Source organism: Homo sapiens, chromosome 15, assembly GCF_000001405.40.
Source record: "Homo sapiens chromosome 15, GRCh38.p14 Primary Assembly".
NCBI lineage: Eukaryota > Metazoa > Chordata > Mammalia > Primates > Hominidae > Homo > Homo sapiens.
The window spans coordinates 32,928,455-32,950,271 of NC_000015.10; the positions used below are offsets into that span (position 1 = coordinate 32,928,455).

At 37.4% G+C, this 21,817-nt stretch overlaps 1 protein-coding gene across 16 annotated transcripts in view; it reads right to left on the minus strand.

Annotated features, from left to right (window-relative positions):
• FMN1 (formin 1) overlaps positions 1 to 21,817 on the minus strand; it is a 429,171-nt gene that overhangs the window by 162,911 nt on the left and 244,443 nt on the right. The gene's annotated exons all lie outside the window — the stretch shown is intronic.

Genomic DNA, 21,817 nt, shown 5'->3' on the forward strand with positions numbered 1-21,817 from the left:
TTAGCCATGCACCCATTCAAAAAATATTTACTGTACACGTTACATGTGCCTGGCATTGCTTTGTATTCTGGGGATGCGGAGGTGACTGAGACAGATCAAGTCGTAAGAAGTTTGCTGTAGAGTCAAAAAGGCAAATAAAAGCATCACCTAAACTAACTGGAGTGCAAATTCAAAAAGAGAAACGTTTTGGGAATTGACTAGATTTATTCTTAAGTGTCCAGGATGGTGACTGATACAACCACAACCATGGCATACACATCAATGACAAGGACACAGGAACAGGATCAAATTTATGACAAGATCACAGCTGGGTTGCAAAAGTTTCTTCAAATGAACACGCACCAAGCTATCCAGTTAGGGCTCTGAAAACTACCAGTAATACTCTGCCTACAAGAAAGGTAATGTACAAATGCACATTTCTCTGTTAGCTAATTAAAAGAAAGCAGGAGAGAAATCACGAGAGAGTAAAAGAGCAAGAAAGATATTGATTCTGTCTGTCCCTGAGTAAAATGAGGCAAATCTACCCCTCACCCCATTATACAACCAGACTTAACTGTGGAAAGGATGTTATCACCATAAGCCATGCTTGGAATTTTGTCGAATGACTTGGCACAACCAGGTATTTGCTGAGTGTTACCTTTACTGGGACTAATGCCTTAAAACGTTTTTGTTTGGAAATCTGATGCTGATTTCCTACAAAGGGGCTGGGGGCAGCTAAGCAGTGGTGAAGTTGGAGCATTTTGTATTCTCTTCCCTACCTGAACCAAATTCTCTGTCTACTTTTAAGTAAATTTTCAAAAAGATCCTTCTATGTTTCCATGTAGCCACTCTTGTGAAATACCACCAGGTTTCTCAAAACCAACTACAATGGTAGGGACACAATGCGCACAGAATGATATGTCCTAAATCCTCTTAGTCTCTTCGTCTTTTTTTTCTCCCATGGCTTTGAAGGCTTAACACTAATTTCTCTTTATTTTTATGAAAAGTGCACAACATGAAATGTATCCTATTAACAAAAATTTAAATGTATAGTACATTATTAACCACAAGCACAATGTTATACAGCAGATTTCTAGAACTTTTTCACCTTGCGTAACAGAAATTTTATACCCACAGAATAGCAGATTTCCAATTCGCCGTTGTTCCAGCCCCTGGGAACCACCATTCTACTTTCCATTCCTTTGAGTTTGACCACCACGGATACCTCATATAAGTGGAATCATGCAGCATTTATCTTTTTGTGACTAGATTATTTTCACTTAGCATAATGTCCTCAGGCCAATCCATGTTGTAGCAAATGACAAGATTTCCTTTTTTTTTTTTTGTGGTCAAGTAATATTCCACTGTATGTACACACCACGTTTTCTTTACCCATTTGCCCATCAATGGACATTTAGGTTGTCTCCATCTCTTTGCTATTGTGAATGCTGCAACATGGGAATATCTTTTCAATACAGTGACTTCAATTCTTTTGGATAAATATCCAGAAGAAAGATTAATGGATCATATGGTAGTTCTATTTTTAAATTTTTTTTTTTTTTTTTTTTTTTTTTGAGCTGGAGTCTCGTTCTGTCATCTAGGCTGGAGTGCAGAGGCTTGATCTCGCCTCACTGCAAGCTCTGCCTCCCGGGTTCACACCATTCTCCTGCCTCAGCCTCCCAAGTAGCTGGGATTACAGGTGCCTGCCACCACGCCCGGCTAATTTTTTGCATTTTTAGTAGACGGGGTTTCACCGTGTTAGCCAGAATGGTCTCTATCTCCTGACCTCATGATCTGCTCGCCTTGGCCTCCCCAAATGCTGGGATTACAGGCGTGAGCCACCGTCCCTGGTCTATTTTTAAATTTTTAAAGAACTTCATACTGTTTTCCATAGTGACTACACCATTTTACATTTCCACCAACAGTGTACAAAGGTCCCACTTTGTCTACATCCTCAAAAAAACTTGGTATTTTTCAGTTTTTTTTTTTTTGACAGTGGCCATTCTGACACGTGTGAGGGGTTATCTCATTGTGATTTTGAATTGCATTTCCCTGGTGATTAGTGATGTTGAGCATCTTTTCCTTATACATATTGGCCATTTGTATACCTTTTTTGGAGAAATGTTTGGATAAGTCTTTAGCCCATTTTTATCAGACATATGGTTTGCAAATATTTTTTCCCATTCTGTAAGTTGTCTTTTTACTCCGTTGATTGTTTCCTTTGCTGAGCAGAAGCTTTTTCATTTAACATAGTCCCCTTTGTGCATCTGTTATTTTTGCTTTTTTTGGGGGGGGGCGGTCTATGCTTTTCATGCTATATCCAGGAAACAACTGCCAAAATCAATTTTAGAGGACTTTTCCCTATTTTTTAAAAAAGTTTTATAGTTTCAAGTCTCACATTTAAGTTTCTAATCTATTTTGAGTTGATTTTTGTATATGTTCCAAGATAAGGGTCCAATTTCATTCTTTTGTGTGTGGATAGCCAGTTCTCCTAGCACTATCTGTTGGAGAGACTATCCTTTCCACATTGTACAGTCTTGGCACCCTTGTCAAAGAACATTTGCCTGTATATGCTTGGGTTTATTTCTGGGTTCTCTATTCTGTTCTATTGGCCTATAATGTCTGTCTTTATGCCAGTACCATACTGTTTTGATTACTGCAGCTTGGCAATTTGTTTTGAATTCAGAAAGTGTGAGTTCCCTAGATTTGTTCTTTCTCATGGTGGTTTTGGCTACTCAGGGTCTTCTGTGGTTCCATACAAATTTTAGGATTGTTTTTTCCTATTTCTGCAAAGCAGCCACTGGGATTTTAAGAGGAACTGCACTGAATCTGTATGTTGCTTTGGGGGAATACAGACATTCAATAATATTAATTCTTTCAATCCATAAACATGAGATGTCTTTACAGTTATTTGTGTCTTCCTAAATTTTTTTAAGCAATGTTTTATAGTTTTCAAAACTAGTCTGTACTAGTCTTTTACCCTCTTCAGTTTATTCCTAAGTATTTCATTTTTTTGGATGTTACTTTAAATGAAATTGTTTTCTTAATTTCCCTTCCAGGTAGTTAATATTTTTGTGTTATAAGAACACAACGAATTTTTGTTTGTTGATTTGGAATCCTGTAAGTTTGCTGAATGTTTTTCATAGTTCTTCACAGTTTGCTTTTTTGGGGGAATCCTTAGGGTTTTCTACATATAAGATCATATCTGTGAACACAGATAATCTTACTATTTCATTTCCAACTTTGATGCCTTTTATTTCTCTCTCTTGATTAATGTCTCTATGACTTTCAGCACTATGTTGAATAAAGTAGCATGAATGAGCATCCTTGTCTTGTTGCTGATCTTAGTGGAAATGCTTTTGGTTTTTCAACCTTGATTATAATATTAGCTTTGAACTTTTAGCATATGGTCTTTATTTCTTTCTATTCCTTCTAAAGAATATTTCCTTCTTTAGGTAATTTCCTTCTATTCCCAGTTTGATGAGTTTTTATCAGAAAACAGTGTTGAGTTTTTTCAAATGCTTTTTCTGCATCTATCAAAATATTTTTATCATTTGTTCTTTTAATGTAATATATCATATTGATAAATATTCATATGTTGAACCTTCCTTGCATTTGAGAGATAATTGACACTTGGTGATGGTATATGATCCTTTTAATGTGCTATTAAATTATGTTTACTGGGCCAGGTGCAGTGGCTCATGCCTGTAATCCCAGCACTTTGGGAGGCCGAGGTAGGCGGATCACTTGAGGTCAGGAGTTAGAGACCAGCCTGGCCAACATGGTGAAACCCCGTCTCTACTAAAAATACAAAAAATTAGCTGTGCATGGAGGCACGTGCCTGGTAGTCCCAGCTACTTGGGAGGCTGAGGCAGGAAAATCACTTGAACCCGGGAGGCCAAGGTTGCAGTGAGCTGATATTGTGCCACTGCACTCCAGCCTAGGAAACAGAGTGAGACAATTAAGTTTACTAGTACTTTGTTGAGAATTTTAACATCTATATTTGTAAGAGCTAATGACCTGTAGTTTTCTTTTCTTGTAATGTCTTTGGCTTTGGTATCAGAGTAATGCTGTTCTCATAAAATGAATTTGGAAGGGTGACCTCTTCAATTTTTTGGAAGAGTTTGAGAAGCACTGCTTCCCTGTTAATTATTCTTTAAATGTTTGGTAGAATTCTCCACTGAAGCCATCTGGTTCTGGGCTTTTCTCTGGAGGTTTTTGATTTCTAATTCAATCTCCTTACTTGTTACAGGTCTGTTCAGATTTTCCACTTCATCATGATTCAGTCCTGCTAGGTTGTACATTTCTAGGAATTGATCTATTTCTCCTAGGTTATCCAATTTTTTGGCATGTAATTGTTCATAGTAGGTTCTTATAATCCTTCCAGTTCTGTGGCATCGGTTGTAATGTCTTCTCTCTCATTTTGTATATACTTGTGTTTTCTTTTTCTCCTTAATTTAGCTAATGATTTGTCCATTTTGTTTATCTTTTCAAAAAACCAACTCGGTTGTGTTGACTATTTTCCTATTGTTTTTCTATACTCTATTTTGCTTTTTTTCTGCTGAAATCCTTATTTCATTTCTTTTACTAACTTTGGGCTTAGTTTATCCTTCTTTTTCTAGTTCCATGAAGTGTAGAGTCAGGTTGTTTATTTGAAATCTTTTTAAACATAGGTGTTCACCCTAAAACCTTACTCTTAGTACTGCTTTTATTGCATCCCATATGTTTTGGTATGTTGTATTTTTGTTTCTGTTTGTCACAAGATATTTTCCAATTTCCCTTTTGGTTTCTTCTTTGACCCACTGGTTGTTCAAAAGTGTGCTGTTTAATTTCCCTGTATGTATAATGTTTCCAGTTTTCTTCCTGCTATTATTTCTAGTTTCATGCCATTGTGGTCAGAAAAGATACATGGTATAATTCCAATTTTTAAAAATTTGTTAAGGCTTGTTTTCTGACATAACGTGTGACTTATCCTGGAGAATGTGCACTTGAGAAGAATGTGTTTCAAAACCCAATTCCTGTTGGGTGGAATGGTCTATTTCCATTATGTCCATTTGGTATATAGTGTTGCTCAAGTCCTCTGTTTCCTTATTGTTTATCTATCTTGTTACATCATTTATCAAAAGTGGGTTATTGAAATCTCCCATTGCTGTGTTGCTGTGTATTTCTCCCTTTAGTTCTGTAAAAATTTGCTTCATATATTTGGCTTGTACGTTGGGTGCACATATAACTGTTATATCTTCCTGGTGAATTGACCCTTTTATCATTAAATAGTGTCCTTCTTTTTCTTTTGTTAGAGTTTTTGACTTAAATTCTAACTATGGCCACCCTGCTGTCTTTTGGATTGTTTTTAGTTTAGCTAAGGATGTCAGTTGTTGGTTTTTTTAAATTAACTCTTGGAATATCTTTTTCCATCCCTTTTCACTTTCAGCCTGTGTCCTTGAGTCTAAAATGACTATTATAGACAGCATATAGTTCCATCTTTTTTTATCCATTTAGCAATTTTATGTCTTTTGACTGAGAAATTTTCTCTATTTGCATTTAAAGTAATTACTGAGAGGCAAGAACTTATTATTGCTAATTTGTTCATTGTTTTGTAGCTTTTGTAGTTTTGTCTTTTTCTATATTGATGACTTTTGTGTTTTGTTTCTTACAGTGACTTGCTTTGATTCTTTTCTTTTTGTTGTTGTATCTCCTATAGGCATTTTCTTTGTTGTTACTATGAGACTTACATAAAACATTTTATAGGTATAATAATCTATTTTAAGCTAATTTCAATCACATATACAAATTCTACTCTTACTTCTCCACTCCCACACTTCATGTAATTGATATAACAAATTATATTTTTTCTATTGTGTATCCATTAACGTATTTTTATAATTATATTTGTTTTTAATATCTGGCAGACATAAATTCTATACCAGAGTTAAAAGTGATTTATCCGCATCATTATAGTATTCTGTATTTATCTGTATATATACCTTTATCTACAAGCTTTGCGCTTTCATATGCTTTTGTGTTGCTATGTCATGCCCTTTTCATTTCAACTTTAAAGGCTTTCCTGTATCATTTCTTGTAAGTCTAGTGGTCATGAACACCCTACACTTTTATTTATCTACGAACATCTATTTCTCTTTTGTTTCTGAAAGACAATTTTTTTCCTTTTTTTTTTTTTTTTTTGGGTGGGGAGGACTGAGTCTCACTCTGTCACCCAGGCTGGAGTGCAATGGCGCAATCTTGGCTCACTGCAACCTCCACCTCCCAGGTTCAAGCGATTCTCCTGCCTCAGCCTCCCAAGTAGCTGAGATTATAGGCGTCCCCTGCCATGCTGGGCTAATTTTTGTATTTTTAATATAGGTGGGGTTTCACCATGTGGGCCAGGCTGGTCTCAAACTCCTGACCTCAGGTGATCCACCCGCCTCGGCCTCTCAAAGGGCTAGAATTACAGGCATGAGCCACTGTATCTGGCCAAAAGACAATTTTTCTTTTTCTTTTTTTTTTTTTGAGACACAGTCTTGCTCTGTCGCCCAGACAGAGTGCAATGGCATGATCTCCACTCACTGCAACCTCTGCCTCCTGAGTTCAAGCGATTCTCCTCCCTCAGCCTCCTGAGTACCTGAGATTACAGGCACGCACCACCATGCCTGGCTAATTTTTTGTATTTTTAGTAGAGATGGGGTTTCACCATGTTGGGAAGGCTGGTCTCAAACTCCTGACCTTGTGAGTCACCTGCCTTACCCTTCCAAAGTGCTGGGATTACAGGCGTGAGCCACTGCACCCAGCCGATAGACAGTTTTTCTAGATATAGTTTTCTTACTTGGTAATTTTCTTTCATTGCTTTGAATATATTACCCTATATCCTTCTGGTCTGCAAGTTCATGCTGAGAAATCTTCTGATAGTCTTGTTGGGGTGCCCTTATATGAGTTGCTTTTCACCTCCTGCTTTCAAAATTCTCTTTTTTGTCTTTAACTTTTGACAGTTTGATTATAATGTGCTCAGTGTGGTCTTTTGAGTTCTTGTAATCGGGATCCATCGGGATTCTTCAATCTGAATGTTTATTTCTTCCGCCAGATATCTGACCATTATTTCTTCCAATATACTTTCCTCCCTTCCTACCTTCTCCTTCTGTAACTGTCACAATGTGTCTATTGATCTGCTTGACGGTGTTCCATACATCCCTTAGACTTTCTTTACTCTTTTTTTTTTTTGAGACGGAGTCTTGCTCTGTCACCCAGGCTGGAGTGCAATGGCGTGATCTTGGCTCACTGTAACCTCTGCCTCCCAGATTCAAGCGATTCGCCTGCCTCAGCCTGCTGAATAGCTGGGATTACAGGCGTGCGCCACCCCACACAGCTAATTTTTGTTCTTTTAGTAGAGATGAGGTTTCACCACGTTGGGCATGCTGGTCTTGAACTCCTGACCTCGTGATCTGCCCACCTCAGCCTCCCAAAGTGCTGGGATTACAGGCGTGAGCCACCGGCACCTAGCCTCCTCTTCGTTTTTTTCTTTTTGCTCCTCTAAATGGATCATTTCAAACGACCTCTCTTTATCTGATTCCTCCTTCTGCTTCATTAAGTCTGCTACTGAACCCCACTAGTGAGCTTTTAAATTTGGTTATTGTATTCTTTAGCCCCAATATTTGTTTGGTTCTTCATAATATTTTCTATTTCTTTGTTGATACTGTCATTTTGTTCATGTATCTTTTTCCTGAGCTCACTGAACATCTTTATGACATTTATTTTGAATTATTTGTCAAGTAATTCATATACATCTGTGTCTTTAGGATTGGTTTGATTTCTTTTGTTCCACTGGTTGGTCCATGCTCCCCTGTTTCTTTGTGTGCTTTGTTACTTTGTGTTGGGATGTGAAAAAGAAGTCACCATTCTCATTCTTTACAGACTGATTTCATACAGTGAAAGACCTTTGCCAATCAGCCCAGCTAGTGTCTCTGGGGGATTTTCAAGCCTTTTTCTGTGGATAAATATTCTCTGGACTTACGTATGTGAATTCCCAATTAGAGGGATTTTGGTTTTTCAGGAGCTCATAATCCCTGCTCTCTCTAGTGTCTGTCTATGGTACTGCAGTTTCTCTGGAGGTATAAGCTGTCCAGCTCCTTTTTGTTCTCATCTGCCCCCAAACATCTAGAGTATGTCAAGTCCCATGAACACACAGAGTCAAAGAAGGAAAAGGAGAAAGGAGAAAAGAGGAGGGGGAGTGGGAGGAAGAGGAGAAGGAGGAGGAGAAAGAAGGAAGGAAGGAGAAGAAAGAAGGAAAGGAAGGAAGGAGAAGAAGAAGAAAAGAAGATGGGTGAAGATGAAGAAGAGCAAGAGGAGGAGGAAGCAGAGGAAGAAGAAAAAACAGTTCCTTGGACAACACTGTGAAAAGGTGAAACACTAGACACAAGCTCCACTCTTCTTTCCCCTGCAGTCCATGTGGGAGAAGCTGCTGAGCTGTATTGGCCTCTGTCTACTGTACTGCAGGCCACCTAGCTTTTTGTTCTCAGCAGTCTCCAGGCATCTAGAGTATGCTGTGTCCCATCAGCACTCCAAGTCGGGCAAGACAGAAATCAGTCTCTTGGGCGGCCCTCTGAAAAGCCAGAGCATTGGACGGATGCTCCGACTTTTTCCTTCTCCAAGGAGAAGCCAGGATTTGGAGGTTTACTCTCACTTACTCTGCCCTGAGCAAGGGTGAGGGGCAATTGCACTGAATGCATACTAATTCATATCATCATCTTTCTTCTCAGTGGTTCCCAACCTGGCATCTTTCCCTGTTAGCTCTTAGATTCACACACAACAGAAACCAGTCTTCAAAGTACCTCCCCAAAAGTCTGAACATTAGACATAAGATCCAGTCTTCTCTCTCCCTCCCAAAGGAGAAGCCAGGAGGTAGTTTTCTCTAAATCAATGTATTGTGCCAGAAAGGGAGTCAGATGAGTGAGTGCCATGAATTTTCCTATTAGCTTCAATACAACTGGTTTCATGCTCACCTGGGGTTTAGGAGCCTCTTAACTGATTTCTGAATTTCTCACAAAGGGAACTGGCCCGTGTATTATTAAATTGGCATCTCCATGGGGCAACAAGGATCCGGTATTTTCTATTCCACCATCTTGATGACATTACCTCCCCCTTTCCCACTTTTAGTTTCTGAGAGGCAAATGCTATGTCATCCATGGATAGAGAGAGAAGACAAAAGTGGCTGGGTTCCACCAAATATGCTCCCAGTCACAAAGTGGCTCATATGGACATGTTGGTAGTGAGAGTAAGAGCAGACTGATCTGAGACTGAGTCAGGCTTCGCTGAAAGGGGGCTGGCCTCTCCTTCATAATTGGAGGACAGTACCAAACAAACTACAAGGAAAAGAATTAGAAATGAAGGAAGAGTAACGAGAAAAAGAGTAGAAGAAACATATATTTTAAAAGATCTTCCTTAAGATATGCAAAATAACTGAAAGGAAACAAATGGAGGACAATAACACATTAGACTTGTGAACACACATAGAAATGGTTCAGTACAACCCAAGACTTTGATATACACTTAGATCTTTCTGAGATTGGTTAGAAATTGGGCTAGCAGGGTGTGAGGAGAATGTATTGGAAGTAGACAGGAGGAAAAAAGAAACTTGAAGACTATAGGAGAGAAAAAGTATACATTTTGTTGCACTTTTTTTTTTCACTGTGTAGCGTGTTTTTTTCACGTAGAAACACATTACTGACAACTTCCTTGTCAGTGCAGGCAGAGCCATTTCTAAAAACATCACATCATTTAAGTATTCCCCTACTAAAGGACAATTAGAAATCATCCAAATTTTGGCCAGGCAAGCTGTGGCTCACACCTGTAATCCCAGCAACTTGAGAGGTCGAGGTGGGTGGATCACTTGAGGCCAGGAGTTCGGGACCAGCCTGGTCAACATGATGAAACCCCATCTCTACTAAAAATACAAAAATTAGGTGGGTGTGGTGGCACACTCCCGTAATCCCAGCTCCTCGGGAGGCTGAGGCATGAGAATTGCTTGAACCCAGGAGGTGGAAGTTGCAGTGAGCCAAGATCAAGCCACTGCTCGCCAGCCTGGGTGACAGAGCAAAGACTCTGTCTGAAGAAATGTTCCAAATTTTGTCAATTGTTAAGAATGCTACAACGAACAAGCAGGCAGAGAGATCCTTAGTCATGCAAGTTTGTATTTTCATAGGACTCATAGAAATCATTCAAATAATATGCCCATTTGAAAATTTGATAAATATTTCAGAATTGTTTCTTATTAGACTTACCCTGCCAAGTATTTGAGAGCAACTGTTTTTCTGTTCCCACACCCACTTTAGGTATTACCAATTTTAAAACTGTTGGCTGAAAAACAGGTGAAATGTGTTTTCATGATTTTATTTTGCATTTTTAATGATTTTTATTAGTCACATCTTATGAATTGTCTTTATATTGTTTTTGCTATATTTTCCAATTACTAGATCTACTAGGCTGGTACAATACAAATACACTTAAATAAGGGCTTAGCTAAATAAGACGAAAAAAGATTTACAAAGAGCCTGCTGTACATAAAAGTCATTTTCAAAGGGAAGAGGGAATAGAACGACCTGTTACTACATCTCCACTAAGCACTGGTATTGTGTTCCTCTGCACATTAGCCAATCCAAATGGACAGTTGTGCACTGGGGGCAGTGAGTATTGCAATACTGTAAACCTTTATTCCTTTAGTGGCCCCCTGTGGACTTTCCAGAGTGATAACAATACTTCAGGCTCAAGAGTCCTGTAAAGTATGTATAGCTATCTCACTGCTGGGGCATTAAAGCAAGAAGCACAGCTAACCGAATTTTTACGGTAATTCATTTTTTATGTTCATTATCAAATCTTACAACCTCCTTACCCAGATATATACCCATTACCGAAGAATTTATTGCAGAGTAGTGAGGAAGAAAATATTAAGGGGAAAAAAAGACAAGAGTGAAGAAAACTGATGAAGAGAACAAGAAAAAGTGATAACAAAGATGTGGAACATGACAAAGATTTTTTTTTTAATTTGTTATCAACCAATATTACTACTTCGCTTTCTGAATGCTTTTTTAGAATCATTGTTAAGTTTCAAATAACCAGAACGTAATTTATGTTGAACCATCTATTAACTGAAAATTTCCCTAGCTTTTCTTTTGTTGGATTATATTCATTATTAGTAAGCTAACTTTTAGACAGAAAAAGTGAATTTCAAAAATTCCCCTTGGAAGAGAAAAACTATATGAAGATAAACTAATATTGGGTATTTAGTCTCCCAAATCCATTGACATCTCTTATACTGTGCTTGAAAGAAATCAAATTCAACGAATCACACCTTCCATATCTATATATTTATTTACTGAACGCTGTGGACTGGTGATCATAGTGATAATCTGGGAAATTTTTAGAATCATAAATTGCCTGAAATTATCAGATACTTAATATTCTGCTCTTTTTATGGTAGGAAATTTAATATATATATTTACATAAGCACAGATTTCAAATACAAAAGTTATAAGAAACTGATAATTAACTCAAAAACCTAATTATTAAGCACCAACCCACTCCTTAAGCTTCTGTTTGCTATTAGCATTCTGTGCTATTTTGACAATTTTTCAGTTGTTTGGCCTAAGGAAGAGGTTCCCAACAATATCACAATCTAAGTAGAAATACAAAAACTGAGAACTATAGCCATAAACTACAACAGTCCTTCCCTCTAGTTTTCAACCTTTGCCTGCTGAGCTTTCATGAATGACCTCTTGGCCAGCTGTGGAATGGGATCAACATCATGATGTAGTAAACCAGTTATTCAGAGAAAAGTCAGGAGACCAGCCTTCAGCCTTCTATTTCTAGGCCTGCCCTTGCTCGTCATTGTATCAACGCTGAAAGGCAGACAGTCCAATTCAACGGTCCTCACAATACGCAAATTCCCATGTCTACTGCAAACAAAATAAAAATTGTGTGTGTGTGTGTGTGTGTGTGTGTGTGTGTGTGTGTGTCTGTTCAATGGAGTTCAAAGACTAGTTTAAAGAGGGCAAACATATATAAATAACGGATACAGGAGCTACTCATAAGATCAGTAACTTAAAAGAGTTTGTAATTATTCTCAGGTATACGATCCTTGAAAATGCCAAGACTCTTATTTAAAAAGGGAGTTTGAAAAAGGTGGCTGTTTCTAGCACAATCTTTATCCACGTAACTCAAACACATTCCCAAAAGAATGTTACATCCAGTGCCTTTTTTTCCGAAACAAAAATCCAGATCTCACTTTTATAAAACCTCTCCATCAGAGTCTTGAGAGATGATAGGCTCTGCAGAACATGAACCCCAAAAGACACTGTAACTCATGGTCTGGGTGTCCAAACAGAAAGGACTCTTACCATTCTTCATGGCCACTAGGGTAAAGGTTCTTCCGGGCATTAAGACCCAATAGCAGCAGAGGCTTTCACAAAACCATGAGGTCAGTTTATCACATTTGATTGTTAGACGTTAGTGGGATTCCTGACTGTATTAGCATCCAGCTTCATCATATTAAAAGGAGTTAGTTAGCTTGCCTTAGGTAAATAACAAAGGAAAGGTTCCCCAAAAGCCCCGGCCCACAGGTTAGTGCCTTATCCCCACGTAACATAAAAAGCAGCCTGCGAAAAAAATCAAGCTGCAGGAACCAATAATATGAATGTCAAAATAATTATTTTCCATGTTTACGTGAAGCCAGTAGATAGAATTTATGCTTTAAGCTCCCAACTTGATTTTATTCCATGTAGGTTCTTGGGGGGAAAAGTGGCTACTACAGGCTGTTCAGGAAAGATAGTTCAGAAAACATTTACTGGAGAGTGTAAGTATTTGTAAGATTTTGCTTATCCAATGTTACTCTGGTTGAATTGGATTTTGGAGTCATTTAACACTTAGCACTGAAGAAACCTACAAATTTCATCTAATTTATCCCTCTGCCTTTGGGTTGGCCCAGAAGTCCACGTATGTAAGTATAGACCTTACTTTACAAGAATGTGCACACTTCATTATAAAGGTTACATTTAGATAATGCACACATTTATAGCCATTTTCTCTCAAACAATACAACAGAGCACTACTTCAGCTAATTGTAAATACAAATTAAACTGTTCATTCCACTCCTAGTCTATGATCCCTTATCATACTCACTTTTCATTCTTCTTTGTCCTCATATGCATATTACCTGATGTGTAATAATCCTCCAAGTCATTTTCTAGTATTAAGAGACTTTTGGCAGTGAACTATTTTACCTGATGTTTGGCTCAAATTCCTCATGCTCCCATTTTGAACCATCTTTTTCTGCTCTCAGGGAAGGTAGGAAACAGCTGGTCACCATCCCCTACACTAAGCTCCTTCAGAAACCTCAAGATCACCATTTTTTTTTAAACAAGAGATGTTTTATATCAGATTGTTAAAAATCAGTTTTTGAGGGACGTTAGCAAGCCCTCACTTTATCTCCGCCCTATCTAGAGTCAGCTGAACTTGGCAGCACATGGCTTTCTCCTAGGTATAATTACAGTCTGGAGGAGAATGCAATTTGTGCAGCATTCCACTGACCTACAAGCTGACCTTGTGCAGGGGCAAATTCACAGGTTGCGTTAAACCCTATTAGACATGCCTAGTTTAAGGCAAAGCCTTTCCAGACCCCTGCCACATGCCAGGATTAGGGCATGTCACACGTGCGTACTATTACATCGCCTAAGGGACTCTCCCAATGCCTTCCAGAGTGGGAAAGGCAGGCCCACACTGTCTAAACCTGTACATTAAGCCAGTATAGACAAATTATTATTATTCCTCACATATGTGAATTTTTTTAAAGCCTGCCTCTGTGAATAAGAATTAAGACAAAAATGGGAAGACAGATTTGCTACACTGGGAAAATCATACCTTCAACCTCAGCTAGAAAAGTTCTGCCAGACAGGCTGAGAAAGAATTCTTGTCAGGTCCAGTGGGATTTTTACATCTACAGAAAATCTGTACACTGTATATCTTCGGCTTTCTGCCTGAGCTTGGCAGACAGGGCCAAAAATAAAAATAAATGGTTCTGAATAGACCACAAGTGCTGGAAGTCTGCTCAGCCAAGTGAGTTTGGCATAGCTACAAAATTAAGAGAAACACAGAAGCCCTCTTCTTCCATGGAGCCTTCCCTGTCTGAAAGGAAGATGATTAATTTCTACATCTACACCTTTGCTAGACACCAAACACATTCATACCTATACCAGATCGAGTGCATATTTTGCTCTTTGGCTTAAGTTTCACATTTGAACATACTCAGTTCCAGTCACAGGGTTTCCATCTCCAGCACAGTCAGTTTTATCCTAGAGCCTGGCAAATAAGCAGAGAGTTTTTTCAAATACAGCCACATGTGCTATCACCAATGAATAGCTGCTGGCACTTCAGGGAACTAAGGGCATGTGAAAGTTGCTGCTTTTCCTGTCTGAATCAACTATTTCACCCCACCAAAAACAAACAAATAAATGTAGAAACCATATATATATGAGTAGACATTTACTTTCATGACAATGATATACAGGTCGAGCATCCCAAATTCAAAACTCAAGAACTCCAAAATACGAAGTATTTCAAAATCCAGAACTTTTTCAGCGCTGGTACAGTGCTCAAGGAAAATGCTCAGTGGGGTATTTCAGGTCTTGGATTTTCAGATTTGGAATGCTCAACTGGAAAATTTGAAATCTGAAACGTTTCTGGTCTCAACCATTTCAGATAAGGGATACTCGACCTGTATACCAAATATCCACATAGGGTACACGGTCAGCTATATAGAACAAGTGTGTAAATGATCTGGCCTTTCTTGGTAAGATTGAACAACAGCGTGGAGAATTCACATAAATTAGACAATCTGATTCTCCCAAGTACAATTCTAAAAAATACAACTTCTATTTTTGTGCCATCAAACTAGTGTTATCTCTTGCTTATGCTTCACATCAATACTCGCTGAATTCCACCACCTGGCCAAACTATGGACATTAAGAGGCTGGTTGGTAAAAAGTAGATATGCTACTGATGACAAGTCAGCTTGTCTTAGTAACAGTCATCCCACTTCTAAGTCATGGGCTTCCAAATAGATAAAGGTACCTTCATAATGACTGTTATGTTTCTCTTTAAGACATTCTTGTGGAGTGGGTTGGAAGACACGTAGAATCCTATGTTAGAGATGCAGAAATTGTTTCACTTATTCAAGGGCTACAGGCTCTGATGATTGCACTGATACTTTAGTTTGAATACCTCCAAATTATAAATTAGTATAGGGTCTAAACTTTAGCTGCATTAGAGAGCAGTATCTTTGTGAGATGAGAGAGAATATTAAGAAGGCCTTAGGTTTAATTTTTATTCTCATTTAACTGCCATCCAAATCAAAAAATCTTCTAAGTAATAGACATCTAATTGGGAAAACAGAGTGAGAGTTTCGCAATGGAAAGAAATTCCAAGAAGTGATGCAAAACGATGCAAGGCAATGAGGTATGGTAGCCTATGGATACAGGCCTTATGCACAGAAAAAAATCATGGGGGAACCAACTGGCAGAATCCTTTTATAGCTGTGGCTATTCTAGTCCCCTCCCTACGATTTCTAATATGGCAGTGACTACAAATGGGACAGGTAAGCAATGATTCCTCCCAGCCAGTGCCAGAAGGGAGTGCCTGGGGAAGGGGAAGGGCAGGACCACAGCCATCTTGCTTTCTCTCTTACGGGAGAATAACCGCTTCTTTGGAAATATGCAATTGTTACTTGGCAGGTGCCCAGGAGTACAATGCTGATTCAGTTTCCTTGGTCCCCTTCTTCTTCCCTGCTCCATCCCCTGCCACTCTGCCATCACACCCAGAAGAGCTGGTTGGCTGGCTGTGTAGTGCCATATTATGCAATGTCATCCGACGTGGTGCAAAACAGCTCTTGCTGCTAATGGCCAGTATGGCCTGGTAGGCCTCTGGGAAGAAGCCTCTGTCAACTGGCCTGATAATGACATTAAAATAAGCTTTCCACATACAGCTGATAATCTGTCTCATTAAATGTTTCAAGGAAAACTAAGCTTCACTGTTTAGTCAAACTGTTAGGTCTGAATCTCTTCCATGGCCTTATTTTTGGGGACACATAAAATTGCTTGGATGAAGTTTACTTTAAGGATCTAGGCTCTTCACCAAGAAATGTGAAAAGGCAAATTGTCACCCTGTCTTGAGTCTGAGAACGTATTTGGCACCCCATCCCCATCCTGACGAGACAGAAAAACCCTTTTCTTGTTTTTCAGGCTGATGAATTCCACTCAGAAGGCTAATGCGGAGGCCACAGCAGGTGAAGGCTATGACAGTGTGGGGGTGTGATGGGTTGGAGGGGGGAGGGTAGGGCTGTGGGCAGATTTCTGATTTTGTGTAATGTAGAAGACAAACCCCCAAACAAAATCACATGCTTTTTCCTATTGATCATGGAGTCTTGCGGGAAGAAAAGACCAAGAGACATCAGTGCATTCACTGCCTTCAGACAGAACCAGAGCTACCAAAGCTTGGCCCTGCGAACAGCTTTGATTTTAGACTTCTAGACTCTAGAATTATGAGACAATAAATTTTTGTTGTTTCAAGTCAACAGTTGGTGACAGTTTGTTAAATTAGCCCTAGGAAACTAATACAGGGGCTGATATTTTTATATTTCTAATAATCTTCTAGGTGATTATGTTGCTGCTGGTCCATGGACATTTTGAGGGGTGAAGTGACTCTAAATAAATGTATTATTTTGTTACTGATCATTGGCACTTAGCACGGTGCCAATACATAGATATATGTATGTTTCTATAATCCCTGATTTCCAGAGGTTTTTCCCATGAGCCCCTTTCAGAATATCAATCTCCACGGAGTCCTTTACTAAAGCTATTGTACTCATTTAGGAAGTATTGGAAGTAACTTTCTCATAGAAAGCCAATCCCAAGTATACAGACAGCCATAGTGCCCTCCTAAAACCTCTAAATAACAAAGTTTGCATGACCTTTGGACTTCCTGTCTTGTCTATATAATTTCTCATCTAATAATAAAAACTTCAACCCAGTCTCACACACGTATATCTTTGGTGGCTTAAATAGGGCTTTTTCTTTCCAACATGTTAGAGTGTTAGGCTTTTGGAAAGAACACATGCTAATAATTACGCCAAGCTGGTTAGAGATAATGGGCAACAGAAAAGTTATTATCTTCAATGTCATCATATGTCTTTGATATGATAATCATTGCATTCAAGATATCAGAAATGATGGATGGCCTTTGATTTAGAGGGTATCCACGATGCAAATTACCTGGCTCTTTCCCACTCCTGTGTAGAGGTGAAGAGCCAGCAAGAGTGAGCACCCCTAGCTGCAGTGCCTCAAGCCACTGGAAGGCAAAATCTGAGACAGAACTCCAAGGGAAACACTTCTTCCTTTAAAGATACTTAGGGCACCTCACATTTTCCTTTTGCAGACAACTTCTCGCATAGTCTTCATTTGCCGCCATTGCCATAATGTACACTACTTACAACCCAAGTCACTCCACTCTGTTAATTTTCTGGCTAACAGCTGCTGATATGTAAGTGCCATATTGCTTCCAACAGGTTCACTGAGTTCCTTCCATGAATATAAAATAAATATTCCACGAAATGTTGGTAAAAAGAGAAAGATGAAATATTACTGTATTTTAGTAGATATTTTAGAACTGCTGCAAGATTTTGTTAGGGTTTGCGGTGTTATGTCCCAGCACATTTCCCCCGTAATTAGTCTTATCCTCCTTCTTACTCTCATAGCACAGCTATCACGGGAAGCAAGTGCGTATCATACACTATCATTCAGGCTTTCAGGTGAATGGCATAACATAGTGACTGAAAAAACCTACCCACTGCCATCCATGAAGAGTGAGCGTCTACACCCATCTTGACTGGAACCATGAGCATATGCACCCAGAGGTTCTCTTAGATCAACAAGGGTGTAACACACATGGTAGATGATTTGCCCAGAGATGCCTAGATGCCTGACTTCTAGTCCTGTGGCCTCTCCCTTGAAATAATTATTCCAGCAAAGATGTACATTCCTAATTAGTCATATTGCAACAAGGGAATAGCCTTTAAGATATGAGAATCAAATTCACTTGGAATTTGGGGTGGTAAAGGCCTTTCGACTTCCTCTTCTCCTAAAAAATTAGCCCAAAATTATGAGACCTAATGATTTGAAAAATAAAATCTATCTTCCATAAAACTAGGGGAGCCCTTTAAGTTTTAAAACAGAAAATGTGAAGTTGGAGGACTGGTAAATTCCTAGGTATAGCTGTGGGAGGTAGAATGCCAGACATACACGAGTAAGAGGCATCCTGCGTTGGTGGAGACAGGAATGGTTAAGAAGCTAAATAGAAATGAATTGTTTCAAAGTCTGCATATGGAGCAACTAGGTGCATGATCTGTAATTCCATCTACTACAATCAGGTAGCATAGTTTCTTTTTATTACTGATTGGTAAGAATTCCACAAACATTTTGGATAACAATTCTTATTGAGCTATATGTATTACAAATGTCTTCAAGCATGTGGCCTATCTTTTTATACTCTTCAAGGTGTCTTGATGAGCAAGAGTTCATGTCAATGATTTTATTTTAATGTAGTCACATTTCATTATTTGTTTTGTGCTTTCCATGTCTTTTCCGTATAAGGCCAAAAGATAGGCTCCTATATTATTTTCAAAAATTATTAAATGTTTCCTTTCTCATTGTTACATCTGGCATTGTCTTTTATTCATGAAGTGAGGTAGGGATCCATTTTCCTTTTTTTGCCATATATATTCAATTTTTAAAATACTTTTATTCATAGTCAATTTTGCCCACTGATCTGAGATACCACATTTGTCATGTATTAGTTTCCATATATGCATAGATTTGCTTCTGAGCTCTCAATTCTTTTCACTCATTATTTATTTATTTAGTTTTTCCTGTGACAATTACTGCCATACTATAGCCACTCTACTAGCTCTTATTACCTTATTTTCCTTTATATGAGGTAGAATATCTCCCACTTAGTTTTCCTTTTTTGGAGTTGTTTTTTGAACATTTGTTCTTGCATGCAAATTTTTAGAATAAGCTTGTTAAATTCCAAGTAATTCTTAGATTTTGATTGAAATGACTTTGAAACTAGAAATTTGGGAAAAATTAACATCTTTATAATATTGGCTTTCCCATTCATGAAGAGAATTATGTCTCTCTTTTTATTTAGGTCTATTTTAATGCTTTCAATAAAGTTGAATAATTTTCTACACTGACTCGACCATATTTGCTTAGATTTATTCTTATTTTATGTCCCTCTAATGGTATCTTTATTTTCCAACTTAATAGTGTATAAAAATGCAATTGATTATTGTGGTACTGATCTCATATCTACTAGGTTTACTCTATTCTCTCATTTTTTAAATTTGTCAATACAGATTTTCTATGCTGAAAAATCACAATTCATCGTTTCATTTCTTCCTTTCCAATATATTTTATTTGATTTCTTTGCCTTATTACACTTGCTTAGATTAAATAAAGGATGTAGAAATGTGTATCATATTCCTATTTCGTACTGATCTCAAAAAGAAAGCTTTCAAATTTTCACCAAATATGCCCTTGTCACATGCCTGCTTCGTGGACACTCTTTTTGAGGCTAAAGCTATTCCCTTACAATCTTAGTTACAAAATTTCATTATAAATCATAATCATATTTAATCAAATATTTTGCCATCATCTTTCAATTATATAGTTCCCCCTTTAATCTATTAACATTTTAATTATTTATAAAAAGCATTTACTAATTTTGAATCAAATTTGCCAGTCTGGAATAAATCAGTTAATTATCAAACATTTTTTTATATATTTCTGGATTTCATTTGCTAATATTCTGGTTAAGATCTTCATATCTATATTTATGAGAGAAATTGTCCTGTAGTTTCTTTTACTTCTGCCCTTGTCTGGTTGTGCTATCAAGATTATATATACTAGTCTTGAGTTTAATATTATTTTCTATTATCTAATATTTTGTGTAAGAAAGACATGCTTAGTGTAATAAAATAAGCTGGACCTCGCATTTTGTGTGACGATTTTAAACTACTAATTTAATTAACCTTAATATTTACGGAACCATTCAGGTGATCTACTTCTTGACTGTTTTGATCATTCACAGTCTTCTACAAAATTATTTCATATTATTTTCATTTATTGGCAAAAATTTGTTCATGGTATTGTATTATACATTTCTATTGCATCTGTAGTTACATTCACTTTTACTTCCTTAATATTACTTATGCTTGTTTTGCTCAATCTTGCAAAAAGTTTTTGAATGTTATTCTTTTTTTTCAAAGAAGAAACTTTTGTCTTTAATTGATGTTCTCTATTAACTTAAAAAATTCCATTCTCATCTTTTAAAATGTATTAGGTTAAACCACAGAAAATTGCAAATATTTGACATATTTAACCTGTAAAAATGGCTTTTTCCTGCTGTTCAACCTAATATTTCCTTTTAATTTCTTTGATTTTTTTGTATTTTTCTAGTTATTGATTTAAGGCACTTAACTGATTTTTGATCTATCTTTTGCTTTTCTAATATAAATACTCATGACTATACATTTCAGCTACATCCTATGAGTCTTATCAGTATTTTTGTTTTTTGCTAAGTGTTTTTAAAATTCCATTATAATTACTTTCTTAACTCAATTTATTTATGGGTGTGATCATGTATTTTTAAAAATAAGGAAGTTTTTCCATTTTAAAATTCATATGGTACCAAAAAAGAGCCCGAATAGCCAAGGCAACCCTAAGCAAAAAGAACAAAGCTGGAGGCATCACACTACCTGACTTCAAACTATACTACAAGGCTACAGTAACCAAAAGAGCATGGTACTAATACAAGAACAAACACATAGACCAAGTGAACAGAACAGAGAACCTATTCACTGCCACCAATAAGACGGCACACCTACAACTATCTGACCTTTGACAAACTTGACAAAAACAAGCAATAGAGAAAGAATTCCCTATTCAATAAATGGTCCTAGGATAACTGGCTAGCCATATGGAGAAGACTGAAAGTGACCCCTTTTTCCTTACACCATATACAAAAATGAATTCAAGATGGATTAAACATTTAAATGTAAAACCCAAAACTATAAAAACTCTAGAAGACAACCTAGGCAATACCATTCAGGACACAGGCACAGGCAAATATTTCATGATGAAGATGCCAAAAGCAATTACAACAAAAGCAAAAATTAACAAACGGGATGTAATTAAACTAAAGAGCTCCTACACAGCAAAAGAAACTATCAACAGAGTGAACAGACAACCTACAGAATGGGAGAAAAACTTTGCAAACTATGCATTTGACAAAGGTTGAATATCTAGCATCTGTAAGGAACTGAAACAAATGTACAAGAAAAAAACAACCCCATTAAAAAGTGGGCAAAGGACATGAACAGACACTTTTCAAAAAAAGACATGCATGAGGCCAAAAAGCATATATATATATATATATATATATACACACATATATATACACACACATATATATACACATACACATATATATATACACATATATATATATATACACATATATATATATATACACATATATATATATATATATATATATATTAAAAAGCTCAACTTCACTGGCCATTAGAGAAAAATGCAAATCAAAACCACAATGAGATACCATCTTACACCAGTCAGAATGGCTATTATTAAAAAGTCAAAAAATAACATGCTGGCAAAGCTGTGGAGAAAAAGGAATGCTTTTACACTGTTGGTGGGAGAGTAAATTAGTTCAACTATTGTGAAAGACA